General features: G+C 43.5%; 2 protein-coding genes and 1 long non-coding RNA gene across 16 annotated transcripts in view, besides 2 other annotated features; all 3 read right to left on the bottom strand.

The window, feature by feature from the left end:
• Positions 1-355: 355 nt before the first annotated feature.
• LINC01961 (long intergenic non-protein coding RNA 1961) lies at positions 356-3,526 on the bottom strand. 4 transcript variants are annotated; one of them, NR_187134.1, is made up of 4 exons: positions 3,056-3,526; positions 2,102-2,212; positions 1,835-1,903; positions 356-666 (listed from the first exon to the last, which is right to left on the bottom strand). It is a non-coding gene; the product is annotated as a long intergenic non-protein coding RNA 1961 (long non-coding RNA). The 4 variants fall into 4 exon arrangements; NR_187131.1 differs by having other exon boundaries at positions 2,102-3,526; NR_187133.1 differs by lacking the exon at positions 1,835-1,903.
• A 10,973-nt stretch (positions 3,527-14,499) lies between these two features.
• Positions 14,500-16,985, bottom strand: FOXD4L1 (forkhead box D4 like 1). The gene has a single exon (NM_012184.5). The coding sequence runs from the start codon at positions 16,391-16,393 to the stop codon at positions 15,167-15,169; it is 1,227 nt and encodes a 408-aa protein (NP_036316.1). The 5' UTR covers positions 16,394-16,985; the 3' UTR covers positions 14,500-15,166.
• Positions 14,699-15,234: an enhancer, noted in NCBI's record as "H3K27ac-H3K4me1 hESC enhancer chr2:114257993-114258528 (GRCh37/hg19 assembly coordinates)". NCBI's record gives its function as "activates a minimal SCP1, AML or CMV promoter by ChIP-STARR-seq in naive H9 embryonic stem cells {active_cell/tissue: H9 hESC(naive)}" and the evidence as "EXISTENCE:reporter gene assay evidence [ECO:0000049][PMID:30033119]".
• Positions 15,235-15,772: an enhancer, noted in NCBI's record as "H3K27ac-H3K4me1 hESC enhancer chr2:114257455-114257992 (GRCh37/hg19 assembly coordinates)". NCBI's record gives its function as "activates a minimal SCP1, AML or CMV promoter by ChIP-STARR-seq in naive H9 embryonic stem cells {active_cell/tissue: H9 hESC(naive)}" and the evidence as "EXISTENCE:reporter gene assay evidence [ECO:0000049][PMID:30033119]".
• A 2,460-nt stretch (positions 16,986-19,445) lies between the features above and the next one.
• ZNG1B (Zn regulated GTPase metalloprotein activator 1B) overlaps positions 19,446-26,224 on the bottom strand; it is a 58,514-nt gene continuing 51,735 nt past the window's right edge. For 10 of the 11 annotated variants that reach the window (NR_138474.1, NR_138473.1, NM_001330340.1 and 7 more), the window contains 4 exons: positions 21,825-21,893; positions 21,656-21,721; positions 20,401-20,530; positions 19,446-20,013 (listed from right to left, as the gene is read on the bottom strand). Coding sequence is in view for 9 of the 11 variants with exons in the window: in NM_001330340.1 (NP_001317269.1) it covers positions 19,907-20,013; positions 20,401-20,530; positions 21,656-21,721; positions 21,825-21,893 (372 nt within the window). In the remaining 2 variants the exon portion in view is untranslated. The remainder of the gene's footprint in view (positions 20,014-20,400; positions 20,531-21,655; positions 21,722-21,824; positions 21,894-26,224) is intronic. The other variant, XM_011510667.2, reaches the window with a different exon arrangement.

Here is a 26,224-nt window from a genome sequence, read left to right as displayed (position 1 = left end):
GGCCCCCCACACTCAAACACATCTGCATCGGCACACCCCTCCCACGGCCCAGTTCTGCCCACAGTGGATCCATCCATCTGCGCTCCAGGCCCCAGCCCCTTGGGAGCTTGCGCTATCAACTATTTGCACTTAGTTCAGAATCTTTAGCCACTCCATGTCCATGGTTATTTCATTTATTCAATGTAGTAACATGTTTAAACCTCTCCCGTCCTGGAAAAAAAAAAAAGTCCTACATTTAACCCTATCTCCCTCTTTAGCTTAAAGTCATCTGTAATCTTTCTTGCCATTTATTTACTCCATGTCCCAGGTTGAACAGTATCCACACACCCCCAAAACTTCATGTTCTCCCTAGGAATCTTAGAATGTGACTTTATTTGGAAATAGGGTGGTTGCAGATGTAATTAGTTAGGAGTGGACCCTTAATCCACTATGACTGGTGTCGGTGTCCTTAGAAGAAGAATAGAGGGAACGCAGAGGCACCCACAGAGAGGAGGCCATGTGATGATGGGGGCGGAAACTGGGGTGGTGTATCTACAAGCCAAGGAATGTCAGGGCTTGCAGGAAACCCCAGGAGCGAATGGAAAGGCATGGAGCAGATTCTTCCTAGCATCTTCAGAGAGAGCATGGTGCTGCCAACACCTCGTTTTGAACTTCTAGCTTCCAAAACTGTGAGAGAAAAAATGTCTGTTGTTTTAACAAGACACCCAGTTTCTGGTATTTTGTGACAGCAGACCTAGAAACAGAATATACCCTTGAAACCACCACCGTTTTCCTTTTGGTTCCAAGATTCTTTCGTGTATGACCCGCGAGAGCCAAATCCAGTCTTTATTTGGCCTCTCTGGAGCACGTGCAACTCATTTATTCCTTATTGATGCTTCTCCCCGACATCCTTCTCGGCCTCCTTCATTGCTTCCTAATCTCACAGCCAGCTACCGCATACTGGAGTCCCTGGGTTCATCACCACCTTTTCCCACTCTGTTCATGCTCCACTGCAATCTCATCCAAATACCAGCTCTCCTCCCACCCCCATGCTGATGATTCCCCAAGCCCTCTGGCCTAAGCCTCTCTCCTGAGATCTACTTTGAGTTCCCCACTGCCTCCTGGACATTTCCACCTAGAACTTGTACAAGCACTTCAAAAACTACATGGCTAAAATGGAAGTCATGGTCTAGAAGCCTCCTTCCCAAATAAACCTGCTTTTCCTCCTGTAACCTGCATGTCAATGAGAGGCTTCACGTTCACACAGGGGCATAAGCCAGACACCTGGCATCTTCTTGGGCTTCTCCTCTGCACCCTTGGCTGTGGTCACTGAAGCCAAAGGACTCTGCCCATTATGGTTTGGGGAATGTATCCTCTGCATCCCTGCTGCAGCTGCTTCAGCTCAGCCTCTTACCACCTCTTGTGGCTAGCGGAGACCTCCACTACACCAGACTTTCATGCTGCTCTGGGAGCACTTTCTTATACCACCTTGTTTTAAGCCATTCCCCTGCTTCGAATGCTTCAGGGTTTCCTGGTCACCTGCAGGATGATGCCCTTAGCATTCCTCCACTTGGAATAACAACGCCTTGTAGCATCTGGCTTTCAGGAGTTTAGAGTGGAGGGGCTCTGCATTCAACTCCAGGACCTACCACATACTTGGTGCGTGGCCCTGGGCAACATACTTACTCTCTCTGTGCCTCAGATTCCTCACCTGAAAATGGGGATAATCATAGTACCTACCTCATAGGGTTGTTGTAAAGATTAAATGAGCGAATATGTTCAGAGCACCCGGAACTGTGTCCAGCATGTCGTAAGTGGGCACTAAATATTAACTGTTGTTGCTGTTAAGTATTACCTTTCCCCACTCATTTCTGTACAGCTTCCCATGTGCGTTGTTTTCCAGCTGATCAGAACACTCTTCCATCTTAGAAGAAAAAAAAAAAGCCCTACCTGTGTTCCCCTGGCTCTTGGCCTTGACACACACTGTCTGGAATACCTTTCCCACCACCTCTCATCCCATGCTCCCTATGAACATACTTCGACTCATCTTTTCTAACCTAAGCACCCTCCCCTGCAGTCAAGCATGCTCTTCACTGAGCCTTCGTAAGGCCCCTGTGCTCACCTCTATTGCAGCACAGATCACACTGCATTATAAAGGACCATCTCCTGTCTCTCTGTCCATCTTTCAGAGTTTGCTGTATTGATCTTAGTGACGTCAGCACGTGGCACTCAGCTAGACAAAGAAAGCAGGCTCAATAAAGGCTGGTAGAATTAAGTAAAGAATTGTATAAAGGCATTAAATAGAGATGGGGTACAAATATGTCCCAGGCTGCCTGGGATAGTCCTGGTTTAGGCCATGGTCCTGATATAATTACTAACAACACCCTCTTTCACTGTCAAAAATATCTCCTTTGGACAATACATTATAAGGTCACTCTAGGTATTAGAGCTGTGATTCTCACCCTATCAGGCCCAATTTTCTCTTTGCTTAACAGCTATTTTAGAATACCCTATGCACTATCTTTAAATGGGATTGATAGGCAATAGAAACTGCCAATAACAGAATTTCAAAAAAACCAATGTAATACCCTAAATAGAATGCTTAATGGAAAATGAAGCAGATTTTTTTAAAGGTAGCTTAAACTAAAATTATGTGTGCAGTATTTTGATGTGTAAATGCTTAGGTCTTACACTTCTGGCCAAGATGGAGTAACAGAGACCAAAATTACTTTCTGACCTAAAACAACAAAAATACTGGACAAAATATATGAAACTATGGCCCTCAAGCAACAAAGGGAATCAATCACTGGAATCAAGCATCAAAGGGCAGTGATCCTCAAGAGATGAGAAACAAATGAGGCTAGCCCCACAATTGACCTCCCAAACACCTTAGAAAACTTTCCAGGCCACAGCACAGGAAGAAAGAATGCAGATGGAGCTCAGAGATCTTCCTGAGTTGAGAAGACAGAACTGTGAGTCTGGGAAGGCCAATGTGGCTAGAATTCATAGGGCAGAATATTGAGGAGGAGAGGGCTGTACAGAGACAGAGCTCTGGAAATCTGAAGATAATACTTACCCTCCTTGACTGTTTAACAGAGTAGTGATCAGAGTATGCAGGTATGAAAATCGCCGGAGAGGCTGGACCCGGTGGCTCCCACCTGCAATCCCAGCACTTTGGGAGGCTGAGGTGGGTGGATCACAAGGTCAGGAGATAGAGACCATCCTGGCAAACATGGTGAAACCCCATCTCTACTAAAAATACAAAACTTAGCTGGGTGTGGTGACACACGCCTCTAGTCCCAGCTACTCAGGAGGCTGAGGCAGGAGAATCTCTTGAACCTGGGAGGCAGTGGTTGCAGTCACCCGAGATCCAGCAAAGCATGGGCAACAGAGCAAGACTCAGCCTCCAAAAAAAAAAAAAGAAAGAAAAAAGAAAACTGCCTGAGAATGGAAAAAGAATCATCCACAAAGAGAGCCAGCCCCTCTTCCCCCCTGGCTCTTGGGACCCCGATCGCAAGGTGGGGAGGTACCTCGCGAGGCGGAGACTGAGAGCCAGCCCCTCTCCCCTCCCTGGGTCTTGGGACCCCCATCGGAAGGGGTGGAGGCACCCCCCGCGATATGGGGAGTAAGAGCCACCTCCTCTCCCCCGCGAGTGATTACGATCCACGGTGGACTCACAGCCTGTTTACTATATTGGGGGTAATATCTCCCCCTCTGGAAATTATGTGCTGTTTGACAGATGGGTGTACACCCTCGGTGTGCAGAGGTTGTACACCCGTCTGTATTGGGAGTAATATCATCCTCTTCCACCCTGAATATTAAGAACCGTATCACAGGTGTGTTTCTACTCCCTGCGATATTGGGTGTCATATCCTCCTCTCCCACACTGAAATTAGAAACAGTATCAGTGGGGGCGTGTACACCTTCTGTCATATTTAAACTAATATCATCCTCTTCCCTCCAGGATCATGAGAACAATATCCCTGGGGGGGTACACTTTCTGCGATATTGGGAGTAATATCTCCCCCTCCGCCTTGGAATATTATTAAGGACCATCTCACACGGGGGTGTACACTTCCTGCCATATTGAGAGTAATATCGACCTCTCGGCCTCTGAATATTAGGAACAATATCACAGGGTGGGTGTACACCTCCTGCGCTGTTATGGGGAGTAATATCTATCTATTACGGGGAGTAATATCATCCTCTCCCTTTCAGGATGTTAATAACAATATCACAGGGTGGGTGATCACAGCCTGCGATACTGGAATTATTATCATCCTCTCCCCCTCGGGATACCAGGAACAATATCACAGAAGAGGTGTACACTCCCTGCGATTTTGGAAGTAATATCCTACGCTTCTTCCGTGAATATTAGGAGCAATATCACCGGGTGGCTGTACATTCATTGCTATGTTGGGAGTCATGTCATACTCTACTCCCTGGATATTAGGATCAGTGTCACAGGGTGAGTGTACACCTACTGAGATATTAAAACTAATATCATGCTCTCCATCCCTGGATATTAGGAACAATATCACAGGTAGGTGTACACCCCCTACGGTATTAGGAGAAATAATATGATTAATTATTAAGCATCAGTCTTAATAATATTACTAATTATTAAACATCAGTCTTAATAATTATCAATGGTAATATTAATAGTATAACTTTACTAATCATTAATGATTTTTAAATATGATTATGCATGATTAAAATTAATTATTAGTATTGTCATTTTTCAATATTAGTTATTAATCTTAATTATTGTTTTATTACCAACATCACGTATTGATTTAATTAAGTAACATTAATTACCGATATTGTTATAATTAATAGTGAGGTTGCTATTATTAATAGTAACCATTAATATTTTTAATCCGTATTAACTTTTACTATCTTTATAGTAATTATTTATATCGATGATTTCTATTAATTGTTATTATATTTATGAATATTAATACTTAATATAATTGTTCCCGATATCCGAGGGGTAGAGGATGTTACTCCCAATATCACAGAAAGTGTACACCCCTCTATGATGTTATTCGTAATTGCCAGGGAGTAGAGGATGACATTATGAAAAATATCGCAGTGGGTATACACCCCTTCGGTCATCTTTTTTCCTAATATCCTGGGTGGGAGCGGATGATATGACTCCCAATGTCGCAGGGGGCGTAGACCTCCCCCGTGATACTGTCCCTAACGTCCAAAGGTGGAGAGGATGATATTTCTTCCAGTTTCGCAGGGGATGTACACCACCCCTGAGATATTGATCCTAATATCCAGGGGGCGAGAGGATGATGTTAGTCTCACTATTGCAGGAGGTGTACACTCCCTAGGGATATTGTTCCTAATATCCAGGGACGGAGAGGAAGATCTCACTCCCAATATAGCAGGGAGTGGACACCCCTTCTGTGACACTGTCCCTAATAGCCAGCGGGGGAGGGGAAGATATTACCCCCAATATCGCAGGGGGTGTACACCAATTCTGTTTTATTGTTCTTAATATCCAGGGAGGGAGAGGATGATATTACTGTCACTATCGCAAGGGGTAGACACTCCTTCTTTGATATGGTTCCTAATATCCAGGGGGGAGAGTATGATATTAATCCCAAAATCGCTGTGGGTATACACCCCTTTTTGATATTGTTCCTAATACGCCGGGGGAGAGTCTATGATATTACTGCCCATATCACAGGGTGTGTACACCAGAACTGCTATGTTGTTTCTTATTTCCAGCAATGAAGAAGTTGCTATTACTCCCAAAATGGAATGGGCTGTAAACCCCCCATAAGATATTGTTCCTAATATCCAGGGGGAAAAGGATGATATTACTTTCAATGTTGCGGCAGGTGTATAATCTGCCTGTTATATTGTTCCTAACATCTGGGGTGGGGGCGGCGGGGTGAGAACGATATTACTCGCAATGTCTCAGAGGGTGTACACTGCCCCTGTGATATTGTTCTAAATATCCACTGGGGTAGAAAATCATATTACTCCCAATATCGCAGGTGGTGTAAACGCCCCCCGATATTTTTTCTAATATCCAGGTGAGGTAGGATGATATTACTCCCAATATCACAAGCGGTGTACACACCTTCTTTGATATTTTTCCTACTATTTACTTGTGGAGAGGATGATATTACTCCCAGTATCAAAAGAAGTGTACAAGCCCCCTGTGATATTGTTCCTAATATCCAGTTTAAAAGAGGATGATATTACCCCCAATATCGCAGGGGGTTGGCTGTACACTCCGCCTGTGATATTATTTCTAATATCCAGGGGAAGAGAGAATAATATTACTCCCAATATCGCAGGGGCTGTACACACCTTGTGATATCGTTCCTAATATCAATGAGGGGAGGAGATGATATTACCACAAATATCAGAAGAGGTGTACACCTTTCTTGTGATATTGTTCCTAATCTCCCTTTTGGGAGAGGATGATATTACTCACAATATCGCAGGGGTTATACACTTCCCCTGTGATATTGTTCCTAATATCCAAGTTGGGAGAGGATGATCTTACTCCCAATATCGCTGGGGGTATACACCCCTTCTGTGATATTGTTCCTAACATCCACAGGGGAAGGGATTAATATTACTCCCAATATCCCAGGGGGTGCACGTCCCCACTGTTATATTGTACCTAATATCAGGGGGTGGAGAAAATGATATTACTCCCAATAGCGCCGTGTGTATACACCCCTCCTGTGATATTGTCCCTAGTATCCAGGGGCTAAAGATGGATATTACTCCCAATATCCAGGGGATAGAGGTTGATATTAAACCAAATATCACAGTGGGTGTACACAACTCCTGTCATATTGTTCCAAATATCCAGGCAGAGAGAGGATAATATTACTCAAAGCATTCCTGGGGGTGTACACAGCCCTCTGTGATATTGTTTCTAATATACAGAAAGGGAGAGGATGATATTACTCTCAATAAACAGAAGGGTACAATTCCCATGTGATGTTGTTCTGAATATCTAGGGTGAGAGAGGATGATATTACTCCCAACATTGCAAAAGTTGTAAACACCTTCTGTGATATTGTTCCTAATATCCGGGGGAAAGAGGATGATGTTACTCCCAGGATCGCAGGGGGGTGTACACCCCCCTGTGATATTGTTTCTAACATCCAGAGGGGGAGAAGTTGATATTACTTCAAACATCGCCGGGGGTGTACGCCCCACCTGTGATATTGTACTTAATATTTAGCGGGAGAGAGGGGGGTGATATTACCAACAACGTAGGGGAAAGTCAGCCCCCTCTCCCCCGCTGGATATTACGAGCCATGTGACAGGGAGGTGTCCACCCCCCACCATATGGAGAGTAACATCACCCTGCTCTCCCCCCACCTCCAGCTTCTTTCTGCTAAGGTCCCCTTGCCCCTCCAGGTGGCTTTCTTGGGCAGGGCATAAAAGAAATTACGTGGTTTTCTTGCTCAGATTTGTTCGCAAGTCCACGAGAAATACTCAGGGAGTCTTGCAAAAATCCGGTGTTACAGCAGCTAAGTCAGCCAGCTAGCCGTGCCCTACAGTTGAGGTGGCATGTCATGATTCCCCTCTCTTTCACCTGCTGACTCCTCCTCAGCCTTCCGGACTCTGCTTAGGTGCCTCTTCCTCCAGGTTGTCCGCTCCCGTCCCCACCCTCCCTTACCTGCTCTCCTAATACCATGGGCTGATCCAGCGCAGCATTTGTCACACATCTTACAGCTGCCTGCCTCCAGTCTGTATCCGGACTCCACGACCTGAAGGTAAGGGCTGCATCTGCCTTGATCATCATTGTATCCCTTGCTCCTACAACAGCGCCTAACACAGAGTAATTCCTCAGTCAACATTTTCTGGATGGGTGAACAAAAAATAAATCTACACATCAAGTGAAAATTAGGCTGAGCAGAAATGAAGCAAGTGATAAAGTACAAGAGAAGGTTATACCTGTTATTCTAGGCGTGCTAATTCTAATTTTAGAATTGCTGTGGTTATTTCATGTTACTCTGCCAGGCTTCAGTGTTAGGCAAGGGCAATTCTCTGTGTAAGCAGGGATAGCTTTCCTGAAAGGTCCTGTTGGTCCTGGGAAGTGATGGTACATGTGACTCATCCCTCAAACCAGAAGGCTAAGCTAAACTAGCAGGAGAGCTGCAGCAGGAACCTTCTGGCAGGGAAGAAACAGCACGCTCTGTGTACCACCCGTGTGTGACCGGAAATAAAGGATGCCCACCATGTGAAGACTGACCAGGACGCAGAGAGAAGGACGTCAGGCAAGATCCCACCCGTGCTTAGGGACATAACATGTTTATTAGCATCATTAAGTACTAGCTGACATGCATAGAGCATTGAGTATGTGCCAGGCACTGTACTAAGCACTTCACATACACTATTTCATGTGATCCCCACCATGGCCCTATAAGGTGAAACTTATAAATATCACCATTATATAGATGGGGAAATTGAGGCTTGGAGAGGTTAAGTTGTTTGCCTGAGGTCACAAAGCTGGTAAGCAGCAGAGCTGGAATCCAAACCAACAGAAATTCCATCTAGATACCCAACTCCTCACTGCCGTCTATCCTTGGAAACTAGACTAGTCTCCAAGGAAACATGAATCTACATTTTCTTTCAACTAATAAGAGCTCTTTCCTTACAGTAATTATTTAAATAGTTTTAATAAAAATTTAAAATCTATTTCAAGATTAAAGTTTCAAAGCCATCAAACATCAAATATATATGAAAATACATTTGTATACATTATAAACAGATATATGACGTGACATGAAGTGCTGGATCCAGTGCATCAGAAAATACACGCAAATATAAAATACCCGACAGCATTATATAAAACATCAGCTGCTTGCCAAATCGGCATTAAATACTTAAGCACTGTGACCTGTTGCTTAAAGTATTACAAATCCAGCCTTATCTAAAAATCTCTATTTGTCCTAGGAAACTAATGCTTTTTAAAAACAATAATTTGGTAATTTTAATAATATTTAGATCTATCTAAACTTAAAGCCTATATATTTACCACCCTTTTACATGCTTACCAGTATTACAGACACAATAAATTTTATCAGGTATTTTTGATAATGTGCTAGGAATTGTTTGAAATATAAAGAAGAATAAGATTTCGTTTTCACCATCTCAGAGATTCCAGATAGTGGTGGACACAGAGACCCGTGAAAATAACTGCAGGATGAAATAGACGAAATTATAGAAGCCCTATGTACCTTGGAAAAATGGACATGGACATGGAAATTTTATTTCATATGCATACTCGTTAAAGAAAAAGAAGCCTACAAAAGTTAGCTACCTTTGGTTTTTATTACTTATGTCTTACACTCAAGTGAACTTTTTTCTGTCTAATCTAATATCATTCAAATCCTGAGTCCTTTTAATTAAGTTATCCTAAAATGAATTTTCATGAACACAGAATTTGTGCTATTACTCTCTCTGCACCTCATGGATATTACCACATTTTAGATTTTATGTTTTAAAACACAAAACAATATAAAACCTAAAGTTTTAACATAAAATGTCTTTGGATCTTCAACTAAAATACTAAAGATATAAAAAACTTTATTCTCCTCAAGATAAAACTAGATTTAAAATTGTCAATGAAATAGTTGATTGATCATTTATATTTCTATAAATATATGGAAAATAATCTATTTTTTAATTGTAAGACATTACAATTTTAGATTGTATTTGCACTTAGGAAAATTTCACATAATCTTTACCAGATCCATGCTTACTCTGATAAAAATTTGTTTTTTCAATAGTTGATTCTTCAAAATATCTTGACTAATCCTTCTCCCTCTACAAACAATATTATTATTTGCCAATATTCAAAAGTCTGAATAAACGACCTTATCCCTGGGAATATCTTGCCAAAAAACTATTACCTGCAGCTACAAAGTCCAGAATGTCAGCTTCTTCAGAACAAACAGTTCAGTTTCTCCCATAAAAAATGCAAGGGAAACAAAAAAAGAGGATTGAGGAAATCTAAAAGAGATATAATAGCCCATATCAACCAAACACAATACGTAACCCTTATTAGCATTCTAATTCAAACCGACCAACTAAACAAAAAGTTTTTAGACAATTGAAGATATTTAAATATTGCCTGGATAAACCGATGCTATTAATGGATTATTTAGGTGTGATAATGGTATTGTGGTTACGTTGATGGGAATATTCTTTTTTATAAATGGGGTCTTGCTATGTTGCTCAGGGTGGTCTTGAACTCCTGGCCTAAAGTGATCCTCCAACCTCTGCCTCCCAAAGAGCTGGGATTACAGGGAGGAGCCACTGCACCCAGTCTCATTGATGGAATTATTATCTATTAGAGAAATATTCAAAAATACAATACAATGATAGACTATCTGGGATTTGATTCAAAATAATTCAGTGGGGAGGGGACTGTCAGCAGACAAAGAAGACACAAGGTTGGCCCAGAGGAGAAGTACATACAGGTTAATTATACTAATCTCTTTATAAACATTGTTTGAAATATGACATAATGTATCCTATACAACTGATACCTTGAGTAACACAATAATAGTCCCCTTAATTTTAGGAACTACTGGTCATAAATATGCCCTTACATATAGACATCTCCTCTATACATAGCAAAATCACATTATTTGACAAAAAGGAAATCTCTTAGGCTACGTTTAATCTTATTGTTCTCTTTGCCTGGATTTGGGAATAGAAACTGCTTCACTGGCTAAGTAAATCATAACTGTCCCAAAATATTCTTAATTACTGATTTCAATAAACATATCCCTTCGTTCTAAGAACAATTAAGAAAATGAAGTTTATGTTCAGGTAAACCTGACAATGTTAAGGTAGTTGAGTAACAGGGAAGTAATGATTAACTGAATTTCATACTGGATTCTCAAATCCTTTTTCTTTTTCTACTCTAATGTTTCCTTTGGATGGGGCGAATTCTAGTATTGTTAGCGATCACCTATGTAACTTTTTTGCAGGTGGTGTATATGGAATCAATGAATGCTTAAAACCAATTAAAAATAATTTCAGTGATTACATGAAAACACAGCTAGAAAAACTAAAGTATTTTTGTAGAGATTACGAGAAGGTTACATTAACGATCAGAATAAGGTTACTATGTAGACTGTAATCAGGTGTCAATGTGGAAGGAAATTTCCGAGCATTTTTCCGGAAGGCTGGGGAGGAGTGGGAATCCTGACTCCCCACACTTCCCACACAACGTGGTGAAGGACTGGTGCCAACTCAGAAGCCGCCGTTTGCTCAATGTCCCCGCCAGCCTTGTCAGTCCTTACCGCCGTTTGACTCCACTGTTTTTCTCGTGGTTTCTGCTGCTTCTCTAAATTGTCCAACGACCGTTATTAAGTAAAAATGAATGAAACGGGGCCGTGTGATCTAGGCAGCCTGGAGATGAGATTTTGGAATCATAAGCTACATTCCAACGTATAAACCGATTTTACTCATTTTGGATACTCGATGTACGCGGAATGGGCGCTGTAGAATGCGGCTGCCCCGCCAGAGGCATCTGCTTGGGACTTGCTGGCAGCCGCCGGTCCCCTCTGCTTGCGACCCTCGGCCCAGCCGCCGGGACCCTGGTGCACCTGTTCCTGGGCGTCCTCTCTACTCCCCAGTGGCCGCCAGCTCCACTCCCAGCCTGTGGCCCCGGACCCGCCGGCCCGAGCGTTCGCAGAGGGCCGGTCGTTGCCACAGCCCCGCGTCCCGGCCCCCGCGCCCCTTGGACCTTCGCCCCAGGCCGGCGCAGCCCAGCTTCCCGGGCAGGCTCCACGCTACCGGGGTCCAGTGCGCGGCGACGAAGCGGAGAGCTGTATCCAGACTCCGGAGAGAAACTCCGGCTCTGCGGGGCGGCGCGGGGCCCGGAGCTGCCCAACTCCGCCGCCTCGGGAAGGCGGCTTCGGGCCCGCAGGGAGTCCCGGGGAGTCGAGGGGTGCCTGGGCTCCTGGGGACCGCGAGAGGAAAAAGAATGGAAATCGCACCGGGGAGGAAGGACGCGCAGAACGCCCCCGTGAAGCGGGGTGCTCCGGTCAGGCGTGCGCGGGAGCGCGGTCCCGGGGAGTCCGGCGGCGCCGTTGCGCGCACTCGGCAGAGGCTTTGCGGGAGAACGCGCAGCCCGGGGCGTGGGGCGGGGAACTGCCCGCGCGAGGCTTTCAGCGCGTCTGGGTCTCGGCGAGAGCAAAGCGCGTCCTGCACCGGGGGCGGTGGCGCAGAGGCCGGGAGGAAGAAATCCGGGCCCTGGCCCAGGTCGGGCTTCCACCCCTGCGACCCGCGAGAGGCCCAGGCGGGAAAGGCGGCGAGTGCAGTCAGCGGTTCCGAAAGCAAACCTGGCCCGGTGCTACTGCGCGAGGGTCGCCGGGCGAGTTTCCTAATTCCCCCGAGTCTGGAAAACGGAGAGTTCCGTAGCGTCTTCTTCAGTGCGTGCTGCGAGTGCTGAAGGAGGACCCGGTGCCTGGCCGACCCGGAGCAGGGGAAGCACTCGGCCGACGCTGTCACTGTCATCGGCGTCATTGGCGGGCAGGACAGTGGGGCGGGTAAGGGGCCTCCCCGCGCCTCCCAGCCCTCCGCGCTCGGCGCCAGCTCTTTGGCTTCCTTCCCTGGGCAGCTCTAGGCTTAGCTCTCAGCCATTTCTCAAGAAGACGATCCCGAGGGTCGAAGACCGCCCTTGACCCTTGACCACGGACTCTTCGTGTAACTCGGAAGAGCCGTGATTTTAAAACCCGGCCTCGGGGTTACAGAAGCCCGAGATCTGGGAGGCGTCCGGGACCTCCCTCCCAGAACCGCAGGGACCCGGCCTGGGATCCAGGGTGTGGCCTCTCGCTCTGCGCGGTCGGGAAGGCGGCCGGGTCCGGGCACCGCGCCAAGCACTGCGCACCCCTGGGACGCGTCGTTGCGGGGGGCTGCGGGGCTGGGGCGCCTCCACGACGCCTGGTCTGCCCGGCCAGTGCTTGGTGTCGTTGGTGGGTTCGTAGCTGCGACGGGTAAACGTCCGTTCCGCGAGCCGGGCAAGGCAACCCCTGCGGGTCGCGCCCGAAGGCCGGACCCCTCCAAGCCGCCTGGGTGCTTCCAAACAGGTGGACCCGAAGCTCCTGTTTGATCGGAGAACAACGTTCAATTTACTCCGCCACGGAACTGATGGTTTAAGTATTCATCTTTGGATATGTTTCACATTAGGCAAAAATTAGGAGCTTGGAGGCGGTTCCGGGAAGGGGCCTGACCCTCAGTCACCCACGTTCGTAGCCGGGTGGTCTGCCCTCGGGCAAGAGAAGGAAGATGATTGGGAGGGTGCCAAGAAAGCCTAGAGAAAGTCCCTTCTGGGTTCAGCGGCTGTAGCCGCTCTCCCAGGACGTTTGTTGGCAATAAATGAAGGAAGGTCGGCCTGGAGACGTTTTCGCACAACGGACAGAGGGGAGTTGGAGCGTAAACCAGCGAGAAGCTGGCATGACATAGGACCCCTCTATTCTCAGTTTGTTTCCAAACTCTTAGACTGCCCCAGCCCTGCCGGATTTGCTAAAAGTGGTCTCTTCTGGACGCTGGTGGGGCTGTGGGGCGGACGGCTGCCTGTGCAAAGAAGAGGGAAGAATTGGAAGCTGGGGTCTGGGCAGCTACCAAAGGTGGGGCTTGGGAACTTTTCAGAACGTCCTCAGAACCGCAGGAGCCAAGAGGAAATCTCCCGTAGGGGATCTCAGGTAGGGCATGCCAAGAAATTCCAAGAGACGGGATGGAGAAGAGAAGCCGGAGAAAAATCGGCCAATTAGACTCCTGTAAAAATGTGTGTCTCCATGTTTGTCCTCCCTCCTGAAATAAGAAATTCATAGCTGGGGGTGGGGAGTAGATGGGGGCTGGGGGAAAAACTTTCTCACATTCACAGAGCAGCTTCCCTCAAAGCGGCACGGAATCGGGAACCCCACTCGGGACAGGGGAAAACGGCCAAGTTCCTAGAAATATGTTTTCTTTGTGGGGAGCAATTCATGATGGGCGTTCTTGTCTGGTTTCCCCCCACTCCGTCCCCTGACGCCGAGTAACACTTAAACCTTTCTAGTTGCAAAGTCTTTTCAGAGTTTTTTTTTTTTTAAGAAATAAGTTTTGAAAATTCTAGTGCTTAAAAAATGTATATATATATATATATATATATGTACATTTATAGCCTTTTATTTTCCCTGAGTACATGTTGGCCACTACATTCCAAATTGATCTCAAACGGTTTTCCAGCTTGTTGGGGGGTGAGGAAAAATAAATGGAGAATATATTTACATGCCCTCCTATTCTTTTCTTTTAGAAGTCTCATAAATAGTAAATTTCCTATTTTAAAAGCCAGGACATTTTCAACCTCAAATATTTGGAATTTTTAAAGGCCATATTAAAATGGATTACTTCTGCTATCTATAATAAATATGAATTGTGAAAATAAATTGTTTGAGGGAAAATAATGTAGGTTTTAAAAAGTTCCATTTAGAAAGGGAAGAATGAGACGTAATAGAAAATAACGATGTAGTGTAGTGACTTAGCATTTTATTTCGTCTATATAACTAGGCTTAATTTTAACACCTTAATTTTAACATTAAAGATGGCACGTCAGACACACAGATAAGAAATCAATGTTCTGAAATTAATATCCTACTTACATTAAACATCCCTATCAGGAAGACACAGAGAGTAGAAGCATTTTGCACTAGACTTAGGAATAACACTTCCAGTTCCAAGGAAGTGAAGAAGGGGGAACATGTTTGGCATCGGAGGCTGTGTTTTTGTTTGCTTGCTTGTTTTTCTTCTAATGCCAGAACAAAATACCCCACTCACGTTCATAGTACCCCAGGAAATGTGCAAATCCGGAAAGCCACAGAAGCCACAGCCGAAGGCAAGAAAAGATGACTTGACGCCCTGCGAAGGTTACGTTCAGGTGGTTTTTAGAGGAACGTAATCCAGCTGTTTCTTTCTAACCATTTTGCAGGGAACAGAAGTTCGTGTTTGCTCTCCAGCAGGATTCAGATGCACACGCCCAGTATGGGCCGCGCAAGGTGGAGTGAGCAGCTGCGGATCGCTCCCCACTCCCACCTGGCTCTAGGAGGGCCCTGCGGACTTGGCCAGGGAACTGGGCGTGGGCGATACTAAAAAAACTGGTGAGGTCCCCTCTCCGCCCAAAGGGGCAGCCAGCGATGTCAGCCTAGAGCCCTCTGCCACCGCCTGATACCGCAGCAGCGCCGACGCGGCCGACAGGTGCCCGCCCAGCACCGCGCCCTTGGTGGGAGCGCAGCCGTTGGCGCAGTCCTCCTCCTGATGCTGCTGCTGTTGCTGCAAAATTGTCCGACAGGCTTGACGGTCGCTGGAGCAGGGGGCAGTAGCTCCACGCGGTCGGGGACAAACTCTGCGCAGCCCCTGTACCCGCTCCCCTGACCCCTTGCATGATACTCTCAATGCTGAAAGAGATGCATCCGCCTCCCGGTGGCGACGCCAGACCCTTGCCCTCCTCCCAAGGCTGAGGACCAAGTGAGGGCTGCAGCACGGGAAGGGTGCCGGGGGTCGCCAGGTCCGCGCCTTCTGCTTTCTTCGGTGCCCCGGCATAGGCGGGGGCCGAGAGCAGTAGGTAGCGAGGAGGATGCGGGTGCAGCAGAGCGTAAGGGCGTCTCCCGGGGGCGGTGTTGGGGTAGGCCCCCGGGACTGGCTGCGGCAGGGCAGGGGCCCCAAGCAGAGGGCCTGGGCGGGGGTTGTGCAGGGCGGCGTGTGCAGCAGGTAGAGGGAAGGGGTGGGGCAGGTGGGCTCCCGGGGTCAGTTGGTGGCGCTTGAAACGCTTCCTACGCCGGAGAAAGCTGCCATTGTCGAACATGTCCTGGGAGGCGGGGTCCAGGCTCCAGTAGGTGCCCTTGCCTGGGTGGCCCGGCTCGCGGGGGATCTTGACGAAGCAGTCGTTCAGCGAGAGGTTGTGGCGGATGCTGTTCTGCCAGGCGGGGAACTTGCGGCGGTAGTAGGGGAAGCGGCCACTAATGAAGGCGCAGATGCCGCTGAGCGTGAGGCGCTTGTGCGGGCTTTGCAGGATGGCCATGGTGATGAGCGCGATGTACGAGTAGGGGGGCTTTGCCGGCTGCCGGGCATCTTCAGAGGCCGCCGCAGACCTTGGCGGTGCCCTGAACTCGGTGCCAAACTCTGAGGGGTCGCTCGGGCCGCCGCCCTCGATGTGCTCTCGGGGAAGCGCAACCCCGCCCCACCGGGCCACCTGCAGCCCCGGCTGGAGCGACTGCTCTAGGAACTTCTGGCTCGCCTCCTCCTCCTCGTCTTCCACCTCGTCTTCATCTTCCTCCTCTCCCAGGACATCGATTTTACCGTCTTCCCCATCGGAGTCCCGGAGGCTGCGCTGCGGTGTGGAGCGAGGGCGCTCAGCTCTTGGCAGGTTCATGGCGGAGCAGGTGCTTCAGTCGCAGGGGATGTGGCGGCCGATCACCTGGCCCGGGGCGGGCTGAGCTGGAAGCCTGGGATGAATGTTGCAAGAAGCAGGAACGCTAGTGGTTACCCTTTGGGATGTTTTCCTCTGCTTGTTTCTACTCCTTTGCAACAACGTCCGGCAAAGATGCCTTTGCCTTTTATAAAAGCTTCTTCAAGACCATGTGTGGTGGACTCCCCCCTTTATAACCCTTCTTCCCCTACCTCGGAGCGGTGCCACTTCCTCCTAACGTAGTCCAGGGATGATGGTCTTCTGGGCAAACACCGTCCGGAGAAAAGCCCAGCCCCCTCCTCCTCGCACCCACCTGCCACCAAGGAAGATGCTCTACTCATCCGGTGCAGCCAGACAAGTAGGCAAGCCTTTGCACGGGTTCTGTTAAGGCGCATTTAAACCCGCGCAAATAAAAGCGAGGTAGGAAAGTAGGATACTCAACATTCTACGACCATCTCGACATGCAGCCTTCCCTCCTGGAGAAAAGAAATGGTGGGGCAGGAGGCTGAAATGTACACGGTTGTTTGTAAAGGAATGTGTAACCGTAAAAGTATGTTTTTGTGTTTCACAGCTGGTAATCACCCATTTTCATTGGTAGAGTCTGTCCTTACCCAGAATGGTGAGCTGAATTATATTTAAGGTTCTGACAATATTCCCAGGCTTCAGGGGGGTGTTGCTTTGCTCCTTCTACCTTCCTTCCCACCTCCCCAAGATGCTCTCCCCTGACTCAAATTTTCAGAAAAGGTTCAAATGTCCCAGCACTAAATTGTGTAAGTTTATTCAGGGAAGGCAGGAGAGCTCACACGGAGTCCTCTGTCCCCTTGTAGCAATGGTTCTCCAATTTCTTTGAATATTTAACCACAGAAATACATTTTATATCACAATCTTACACATACAGACATAATACATAACTAAGATGGCTTTCACGAAACAATATACTTACACTATAGTGATCACTGATATTTCCTTTTAAAAAAAAATGGCCATAACCAACTAAATTGATTTCACACATACCAGTATGGGCCCAGTTTGAAAAATCCTGTTCTTACAAAGTGGCCCCACATACAAGAAATGCACCCACTCTATAAGGGCTTCTCTCTCTCCCTTTCCTCCTTCCTTTCTTCATCCTTTATAACCAATTCATTTTTAGAGACAGGGTCTATGTTGCACAGGCTGGCTTTGAATTCCTGGGCTCAAGTGATCCTCCCGCCTCAGCCTCCTGAGTAGGTGGGACTACAGGCGTGCCACTATGCCTGGCTCTGGCTCTTCATTCTTTTTTTCCTTTTTTTTTTTTTTTTTTTTTTTGAGACGTTGTCGCTCTGTCGCCCAGGCTGGAGTGCAGTGACACAATCTCGGACCACTGCAAGCTCCGCCTCCCGGGTTCACGCCATTCTCCCGCCTCAGCCTCCCGAGTAGCTGGGACCACAGGCGCCCGCCACTACGCCCGGCTAATTTTTTTGTATTTTTAGTAGAGACGGGGTTTCACCGTGTTAGCCAGGATGGTCTCGATGTCCTGACCTCATGATCCGCTTGCCTCAGCCTCCCAAAGTGCTGGGATTACAGGCGTGAGCCACCGCGCCCGGCCTCTTCATTCTTTCAGAAATGTCAACATTAAGTGCTTTTACTGTAATAAAACTTGGGACTTCAATGAGGCAAGAAGGGGCTGCAGTGTTGCCTTTAAATCAGTGGGTCCTCATTCACTGTCTGCACTGGGGAGGGGCAATATGACAGCACAACTGTTCATCTCACTCGCTCCACATCCTTAGAAGTAACACGATTTTTAGATTGGCTTCATGAAAATTAGCTCAGAGACTAAAGTAGCACTACAGAGGAATAAAAAAAATATTTGTTATATAAATAAGGATCTTATTAAAATACTAAGTAAGATACTATGCCACGGTATATATTCATAATTTAAAACCCACCTACTTGGGAAAACTTTGAGGTGCCATCTAATAAAAATGCAGCATGAAAGAATATTATGCCCTTGATAGTCACATAGTGTCTATAATTATGACAACGAATGTTCAGTGAGAAATCAAACGCCAACTGCAAGGGCAAAATATAATAAAAAATAGCTTAAAGTAGCTAGTGCCTTCAGGATAAAATCTGGAAAAGAGCTTTCTTGCTGATCTTTTTTTGAAACTTTGCTGCTCCTGAAGTTTTTACCCTTTAAGGCTCCTCAGTTTATATGAAGCTTGGAGGACAAATAACAGACAGGTTTGAGCCTAACAGATTTGTTTGAATCCCAAATTTACCAATGACTGCTTGTGTGACCTACTAAACTAAGCTCCAGGAGGGCCAGGCCAGGTGTCTTATTCAACCACAAAATCCCAGACGCCTCCTCCCCAGCGCCCCCGGCATGTGAGGCACATTTCCTCCATCAGCATAGGAATCGGATGACCTGGGAAAGGGAGTATTGTTAGTTTTCCCAGCGCCAGCTTCAATAGGGATCGGGGTTATTTAAAAATGCAGGAGAAAAATAAGGAGGCACTCAAAAACAAAACACAAAACCCACATTGAGGGGGCATGTCAAAGGCGGGAACAGGAGATAACGGAAACCCACATTGATGGGGGCATGTCAAAGGCGGGAACAGGAGATAACGGAAACCCACATTGATGGGGGCATGTCAAAGGCGGGAACAGGAGATAACGGAAACCCACATTGATGGGGGCATGTCAAAGGCGGGAACAGGAGATAACGGAAAGAGTTCCCAATGGTCAAAGCTGGGCTAATTTGAGCAACAAAATAAAGCAGTATTAAATTGTAACCCAAAGTATAAAATATTCATGTGTCCACACTGATAAACATAAATGATCGAACTAATAAAGCGAAAGGGACAACTGTCCTTTGCAGAAGAATTTCAATTAATTATGTAGACCACTCCCAAAAAAGTACACTACAACTCCCCATTCCTTTAGTGTGGGCTGTGCATAGTGATTTCCTTCCAAAGAGCACAGTATGAAATGGGGGAAAAGAGTAACTTTACAATGGAGAAACCTGACAAACACTCCTTCAGCCAGGTGATCAGGTCGTCAACATCAACATCAATAACAGTCATAACCTTTTATTTCATGTCATAAAATGGTGACACTTACTTGTGTTAAAAAAATTTAATAACAATGTAATCATTATATCTCTGCAATCAGCTGAAGTTCTAAGAAAAAATGACAATGTTGAAAGTTGTATCATCATTATTATAAACTTTCATGTTCAGTATATGTAAACTCCAAAGCCAATTTCAAAAGACATTTTTGTGAAATACCATTCTTTAAAAAAAAGGATATTATATATAACTGTATGAATGTTAAATGTTTTACAGTACCGATTTGCTACATTTTATGTATGCTGTAAAACAAATACCATTTTAAAGTATATTGGAATTCGTAACTAAAGTAATAAATAAATGCTTGAAATATACCCAGTAGAAACTTATTTTTATTATCCAATCCTTTTGATAAGAAATGCCTCTAGTGTTATGTACAAACTTGATCTTCTTTGAAATGTGTTGTCCACTGCTTTTCTGTTTCTGTCACAGTAGCTATAAACAGCTGTTTAAGGATATCCTTATCTAAATTTCTGCCTGCAAACAAAACAAAATATGACGTGATTACATTATGCTTATTAAAATGACACAGTTCACCTATCAATTCCAGTTCATTAAATGCTTTATGGTGTTTAGAAATTTACAAAAAGAATAGTAATTGAGTGATTCCATCTTTAACTTTCCAGGTCAGTACATCAAAGTCACATTGGTCCTTGGATTAACCACTTTTCTAAAACTGAAGAAGAACAAAAGTCCTAACAAGCTTTTACGAACGTTGTAACGTGATAAAGATGAAACATTGACCACAAGCTTATTTAGTTTTAAAAGAGGACCTGAATGGTTAATCTGTTTGAGTGGCACATGATATCCCTTTCAAATATATTTTTCACTTTGTTTTAAAACTGTGAATCCTTTCAGACTTACCAAGGAGGACCAATCGATTTGTTCTCTCAGTGTCATCCTTCCAGCTCACTGGAGTCTCCTCCAGATCATAGAGCTCATGGACACCCTGGACAATCACTTGTTGTGATTTGTCTTTGATTGACACCAATCCCTGCTCAAAGGAGAATTGACTGAACATTAATCAGCCTCAGTTCAAACTTAAAAGCAGAAATAGAGCATCAATGTTAATGGATTAATTACTGATATTCACTTAAAAAATACAAACTCTTAAGCTGAGAAAATTACTTAATTCCAATTATTTGTGAATTACAAGAAGTTTCTTAATGTTTTTAATTTTCAAAAAAGGTTTCTGTGTATTGATTTTTTTTTGAACAATCCCCTTTTCTAATGATAAAGTTAATACATATATTAGGATGGTTTTTCAGTGTTATTTATCACAACCAAAACCTGAAACAAAATGATGAAATATGTATCATATCCTATTGATTAAAGATTTTATATAATGTTTCACAGTTTTAGTGGGAAAAGTTGAGAAGTTAAAGGAGTTTGATTATATTAAATAATTTGTTTTAGAAATGGGTTGCAATCAATGAACAATGATGAAATAAAGAAAAACTATTATATTTATCTGAATATGAGCTCATTGTGTATTGATTTGCAGAAATGAAAAATGAATTATCTGATAAACTGGCTCCTATGGGGATGAAATTAATTTATTTGAAATAATATTCTTAATTTACCAAAAACTTTGTGCACACTTGTGAACACACAAGAGTAGACACTCAACTGACTGGTTAAGCATACACTTTAGAATCACTGCTTCCTAGAAGAAATACCTTTCATGACTTAAATACCCAAATATCAAGTAACGTGAGTGGGTTTCTAAATACAGAACAAGAATTCTTCTAGTCCTTTGTAACTTTGTTTAGAGTATGACAAATGTTTAGTGTCTGCTAAATGCATCAGGAAGCATAATGTTCAGCAGAAGTGAGATTTGCAACATTATTTCTCTGTACTTGGGAACAGAGAGCAGAAGGTAACATTTCAAAGCACACAGGTTTGTTCTAGCTGCAACCCTAAAGAAAGTTGTGCAAATAAATCAAGCCTTATGCAGTGATTTCCAAAGCTCCTTTTCAGTCATGAAAATAATAAAGAAAAATGAAAGTAGACAAAGATGATTTGTACTAAAACCAGTGTTTCTGTTTAAAACCAAATATAGTTTTTATAACAGCCAAGAAAAGGACTTTGTCCGAAAGTCTGCAACAGTAAACTGTACCTTCAGCCTTATGACCTCCATGCAGTGATTGTCCTTGTTTCTCACATTCTTTTCCCACAGGAGATTCTGTATCAAGTGACATATTTTAATAAGACCAACCATCGCTAATAGCAACAACTATGTAACAAAACCATTGATAAATCATTTATCAGTTAAAAATTGCATTCACCTGAATAAACATATTAAGATGTTCTTCCTTTGCATTTCCTGGTACTTCAAATGTGATTGTAACAATACTCTGTAAATCAAGGGAAATAACAATAATTCTTTATAGTAATATCAATGTTTTTTAAATCACAAATTTTAAGATGAAAAGGAACATATTCATGGAATTTTACATTGCTTAAACCATATATATTAGGTATTATACTTTCCTCAGCATATGTGCTGTTTTTTTGGAATTAGCAACTCCATTTCCTACATTCTGCACAGGTACCAATGGATTTAGTATTTACACAAACTACTACCTTGTATTTTAAAAAACTCACTCAAAAACCCTGATGAAAGGGTCCTCATTATTTAATTCATTCTTTCGTGGATTCTCAGCAATAAGAATATATGTAACACATACAATGTACTCACTACACAGGGCCAGGTACTTTTGCCTGAGTCACCTCATTTTATCTTTTGACTTACTCTTCACAACAATCCTGGGGAGTGAAGATAACTATTTCATTTTATAAATTGGGGAAAATAAGGGTCAAAAAAATAAGCTACCCAGGGCCAGGAATAAAACTCAAAACCAAAGTAAATTTGTTCTCTTAAAAAAAAAATACAAAAGAAAGGCTTGGCTTATCTTTAACTGAATAAGCATGTGCCAAGAGGAGAAGAGTTCTTAGCGATGAGAATGATAGGATAATGCCCTCTTTGGCTTTAGTAAGGGTGACATCATCATGTATTGAATATTAACTCTAGGATTTATTTTTCTTCTTTATCTTGATAAATCTCTCACTGTCTACCCTAAAGAAACAGAAGCTTAACATTTCCTCTAACAGGTCACCTAATTAAAACCCAAACCTCCCTTTGCCAATATAACCCCAAATTTCAAACTCAGAGATGAAAATACACAAGGGCTAAGCATAACATTATAAAAACATACACCCCACCTTGGAAAACAGAGGCTCAAAAGCCAAGCTCAAAATGAATTTAAAAAGGTAGAAAATAATATACTAAAGCACATCTTTGCATAACTTCCTAGAACTGCATATCTGGCCTAGCAATTTTACTCACCATTACATAATCATACAGGCTTACAGCAGAAAATACAAAAAGACCAAAACTATTTTATAATCCAAACTCAAGAGAATCGCTAAAGTATTAAAGACCAATTTAGGCAGAAACATATGAGACATTTCTTTCTTTCCATAGGTTACTGGGGAACAGGTGGTGTTGGTTAACTTCTTTAGTGGTGATTTGTGAGATTTTGGTACACCCATCACCTGAGCAGTATACACTGCACCCAATTTTTGTCTTTTATTCCTCATCCCCTTCCCACCCTTTCTCCCTGAGTCCCCAAAGTTCATTGTGTCATTCTTATGCCTTTGCATCCTCATAGCTTAGCTCCCACTTATGAGTGAGAACATAGCGATGTTTGGTTTTCCATTCCTGAGTTCTTTCACTTAGAATAATAGTCTCCAATCTTATCCAGGTCACTGCGAATGCCATTAATTCACTCCTTTTTATGGCTGAGGAGTATTCCATTGTATGTATATATATATCACAGTTACTTTATCCACGCATTGATTGATGGGCATTTGGGTTGCTTCCACGTTTTTGCAATTGCGAATTGTGCTGCTATAAACATGCGTGTGCACGTATCTTTTTCGTATAATGACTTCTTTTCCTCTGGGTGGATACCTAGTAGTGGGATTGCTGGACCAAATGATAGTTCTACTTTTAGTTCTTTAAGGAATCTCCACACTGTTTTCCATAGTGGTTGTACTAGTTTACATTCCCACCAGCAGTGTAGAAGTGTTCCGTGTTCACCACATCCATGCCAACATCTACTATTTTTTTGATTTTTTTATTATGGCCATTCTTGCAGAAGTAAGGTGGTATCGCACTGTGGTTTTGATTTGCATTTCCCTGATCATTAGTGATGTTGAGCATTTTTCCATATGTTTATTGGCCATTTGTATATCTTCTTTTAAGAATTGTCTATTCATGTCCTTAGCCCACTTTTTGATGGGACTGCTTTTCTTGCTGATTTGTTGGAGTTCATTGTAGATTCTGGATATTTGTTCTTTTTCAGATGTATATATTATGAAAGATTTTCTCCTTCTCTGTAGGTTGTCTGTTTACTCTGCTGACTGTTCCTTTTGCTGTGCAAAAGTTCTTTAGTTTAATTAAGTCCCAGCTATTTATCTTTGTTTTTATTGCATTTGCTTTTGGGTTCATGAAATCCTTGCCTAAGCCAATGTCTAGAATGATTTTTCCAATGGTATCTTTTAGAATTTTTATAGTTTCAGGTCTTAGATTTAAGTCTTTAATTTATCTTGGGTTGATTTTTGTATACAGTGAGAGAGGAGGATCCAGTTTCATTCTCCTACATGTGGCTAGCCAATTATCCCAGCACCATTTGTTGAAAAGGGTATCCTTTTTCCACTTTACGTTTTTGTTTGCTTTGTTGAAGATCAGTTGGCTGTAAGTATTTGGGTTTATTTCTGGGTTCTCTATTCTGTTCCATTGGTCCATGTGCCTATTTTTATAACCGTACCATGCTGTTTTGGTGACTATGGCCTTATAGTATAAGTTTGAAATCAGGTAATGTGATGCCTTCAGATTTGTTCTTTTTGCTTAGTCTTGCTTTGGCTACGCGCATGTGTATGTTAAACCATCCCTGCATCCCTGGTATGAAACCCCTTGATCATGGTGGATTATCTTTTTGATATGTTGTTGGAATCAGTTAGCTAGAATTTTCTTAAGGATTTTAGCATCTATGTTCAAGGATATTGGTCTGTAGTTTTCTTCTTTGGTTATGTCCTTTCCTGGTTTTGGTATTAGGGTGATACTGGCTTCATAGAATGATTTAGGGAGGATTCCTTCTTTCTCTCTCTTGTGGAATAGTGTCTTTAAGACTGGTACCAAGTCTTCTTTGAATATCTGGTGGAATTCTGTTGTGAATCCGTCTAGTCCTGGACATTTTTTTGTTGGTAATTTTTTAATTACCATTTCAATCTCCCTGCTTGTTACTGGTCTGTTCAGGGTAATTCTTCCTGATTTAAGCTAGGAGGGTTGTATCTTTCCAGGAATTTCTCCATCTATTTTAGGTTTTCTAGTTTATGCATGTAAAGGTGTTCATAGTAGCCTTGAATATCTTTTGTATTTCTGTGGTGTCAGTTGTAATATCTCCCGTTTCATTTCTTATTGAGCTTATTTGGATTTTCTCTCTTTTCTTGGCTGATCTTGCTAACAGTCTATCAATTTTATTTATCTTTTCAAAGAACCAGCTTTTTGTTTCATTTATCTTTTGGATTTTTTTTGTTGTTTTGTTTCAATTTCATTTAATTCCGCTCTGGTCTTCTTTCTTCTGCTGGGTTTGTTCTTGTTTCTCTAGTTCTTTGAGATGTGACCGTAGATTGTGCTCTTTCCGACTTTTTGATGGAGGCATTGAGGGCCATGAACTTTCCTCTTAGCACCACCTTTGCTGTATCCCAGAGGTTGATAGGTTGTGTCACTATTGTCATTCAGTTTGAGGAATTTTTACATTTCCATCTTGATTTCATCTTTGACCCAGTGATCATTCAGGAGCAGGTTATTCCACGTATCGGCATGGTTTTGAAGGTTCCTTTTGGAGTTGATTTCCAGTTTTATTCCACTGTGGTCTGAGAGAGTGCTTGATATAATTTTAATTTTCTTAAAATTTATTGAGGCTCATTTTGTTGGCTATCATATGGTCTATCTTACAGAAAGTTCATGTGCTGTTGAACAGAACGTATATTCTGTGGTTGTTGGATGGAATATTCTGTATATATCTTTTAACTCCATTTGTTCCAAGGTATAGTTTAAATCCACTGTTTCTTTGTTGACTTTCTGTCTTGATGACCTGTCCAGTGCTGTCAGTGGAGTATTAAAATCCCTCACTATTATTGTGTTGCTGTCTGTCTAATTTTTTAGGTCTATTAGTAATTCTTTTATAAATTTGGGAGCTCCAGTGTTAGGTGCATATGTTTAGGATTGTGATACTTTCCTGTTGGACAAGGCCTTTTTTCATTATATAATGTCCCTCTTTGTCTTTTTAAACTGCTGGTTCTTTAAAGTTTGTTTTGTCTAATATAAGAATGGCTACTCCTGCTCACACTTGGTGTCCGTTTGCATGAAATGTCTTGGTCCATCCCTTTACCTTAAGTTTATGTGAGTCCTTATGTGTTAGGTGAGACTCTTGAAGGCAACAGATGGTTGGTGAATTCTTACCTATTCTGCAATTCTGTATCTTTTAAGTGGAGCATTTAGGCCATTTATATTCAATGTTAGTATTGAGATGTGAGGTACCACTCTATTCATCATGCTATTTGTTGCCTGTATACCTTGTTTTTCTGGTTTTTGTTGTTTTTCTAATTGTATTTTTGT

This window comes from Homo sapiens, chromosome 2 (assembly GCF_000001405.40).
Source record: "Homo sapiens chromosome 2, GRCh38.p14 Primary Assembly".
Lineage (NCBI taxonomy): Eukaryota > Metazoa > Chordata > Mammalia > Primates > Hominidae > Homo > Homo sapiens.
The sequence above is the reverse complement of the archived record's forward strand: the minus strand, read 5'-3'. Positions and strand labels throughout refer to the sequence as shown.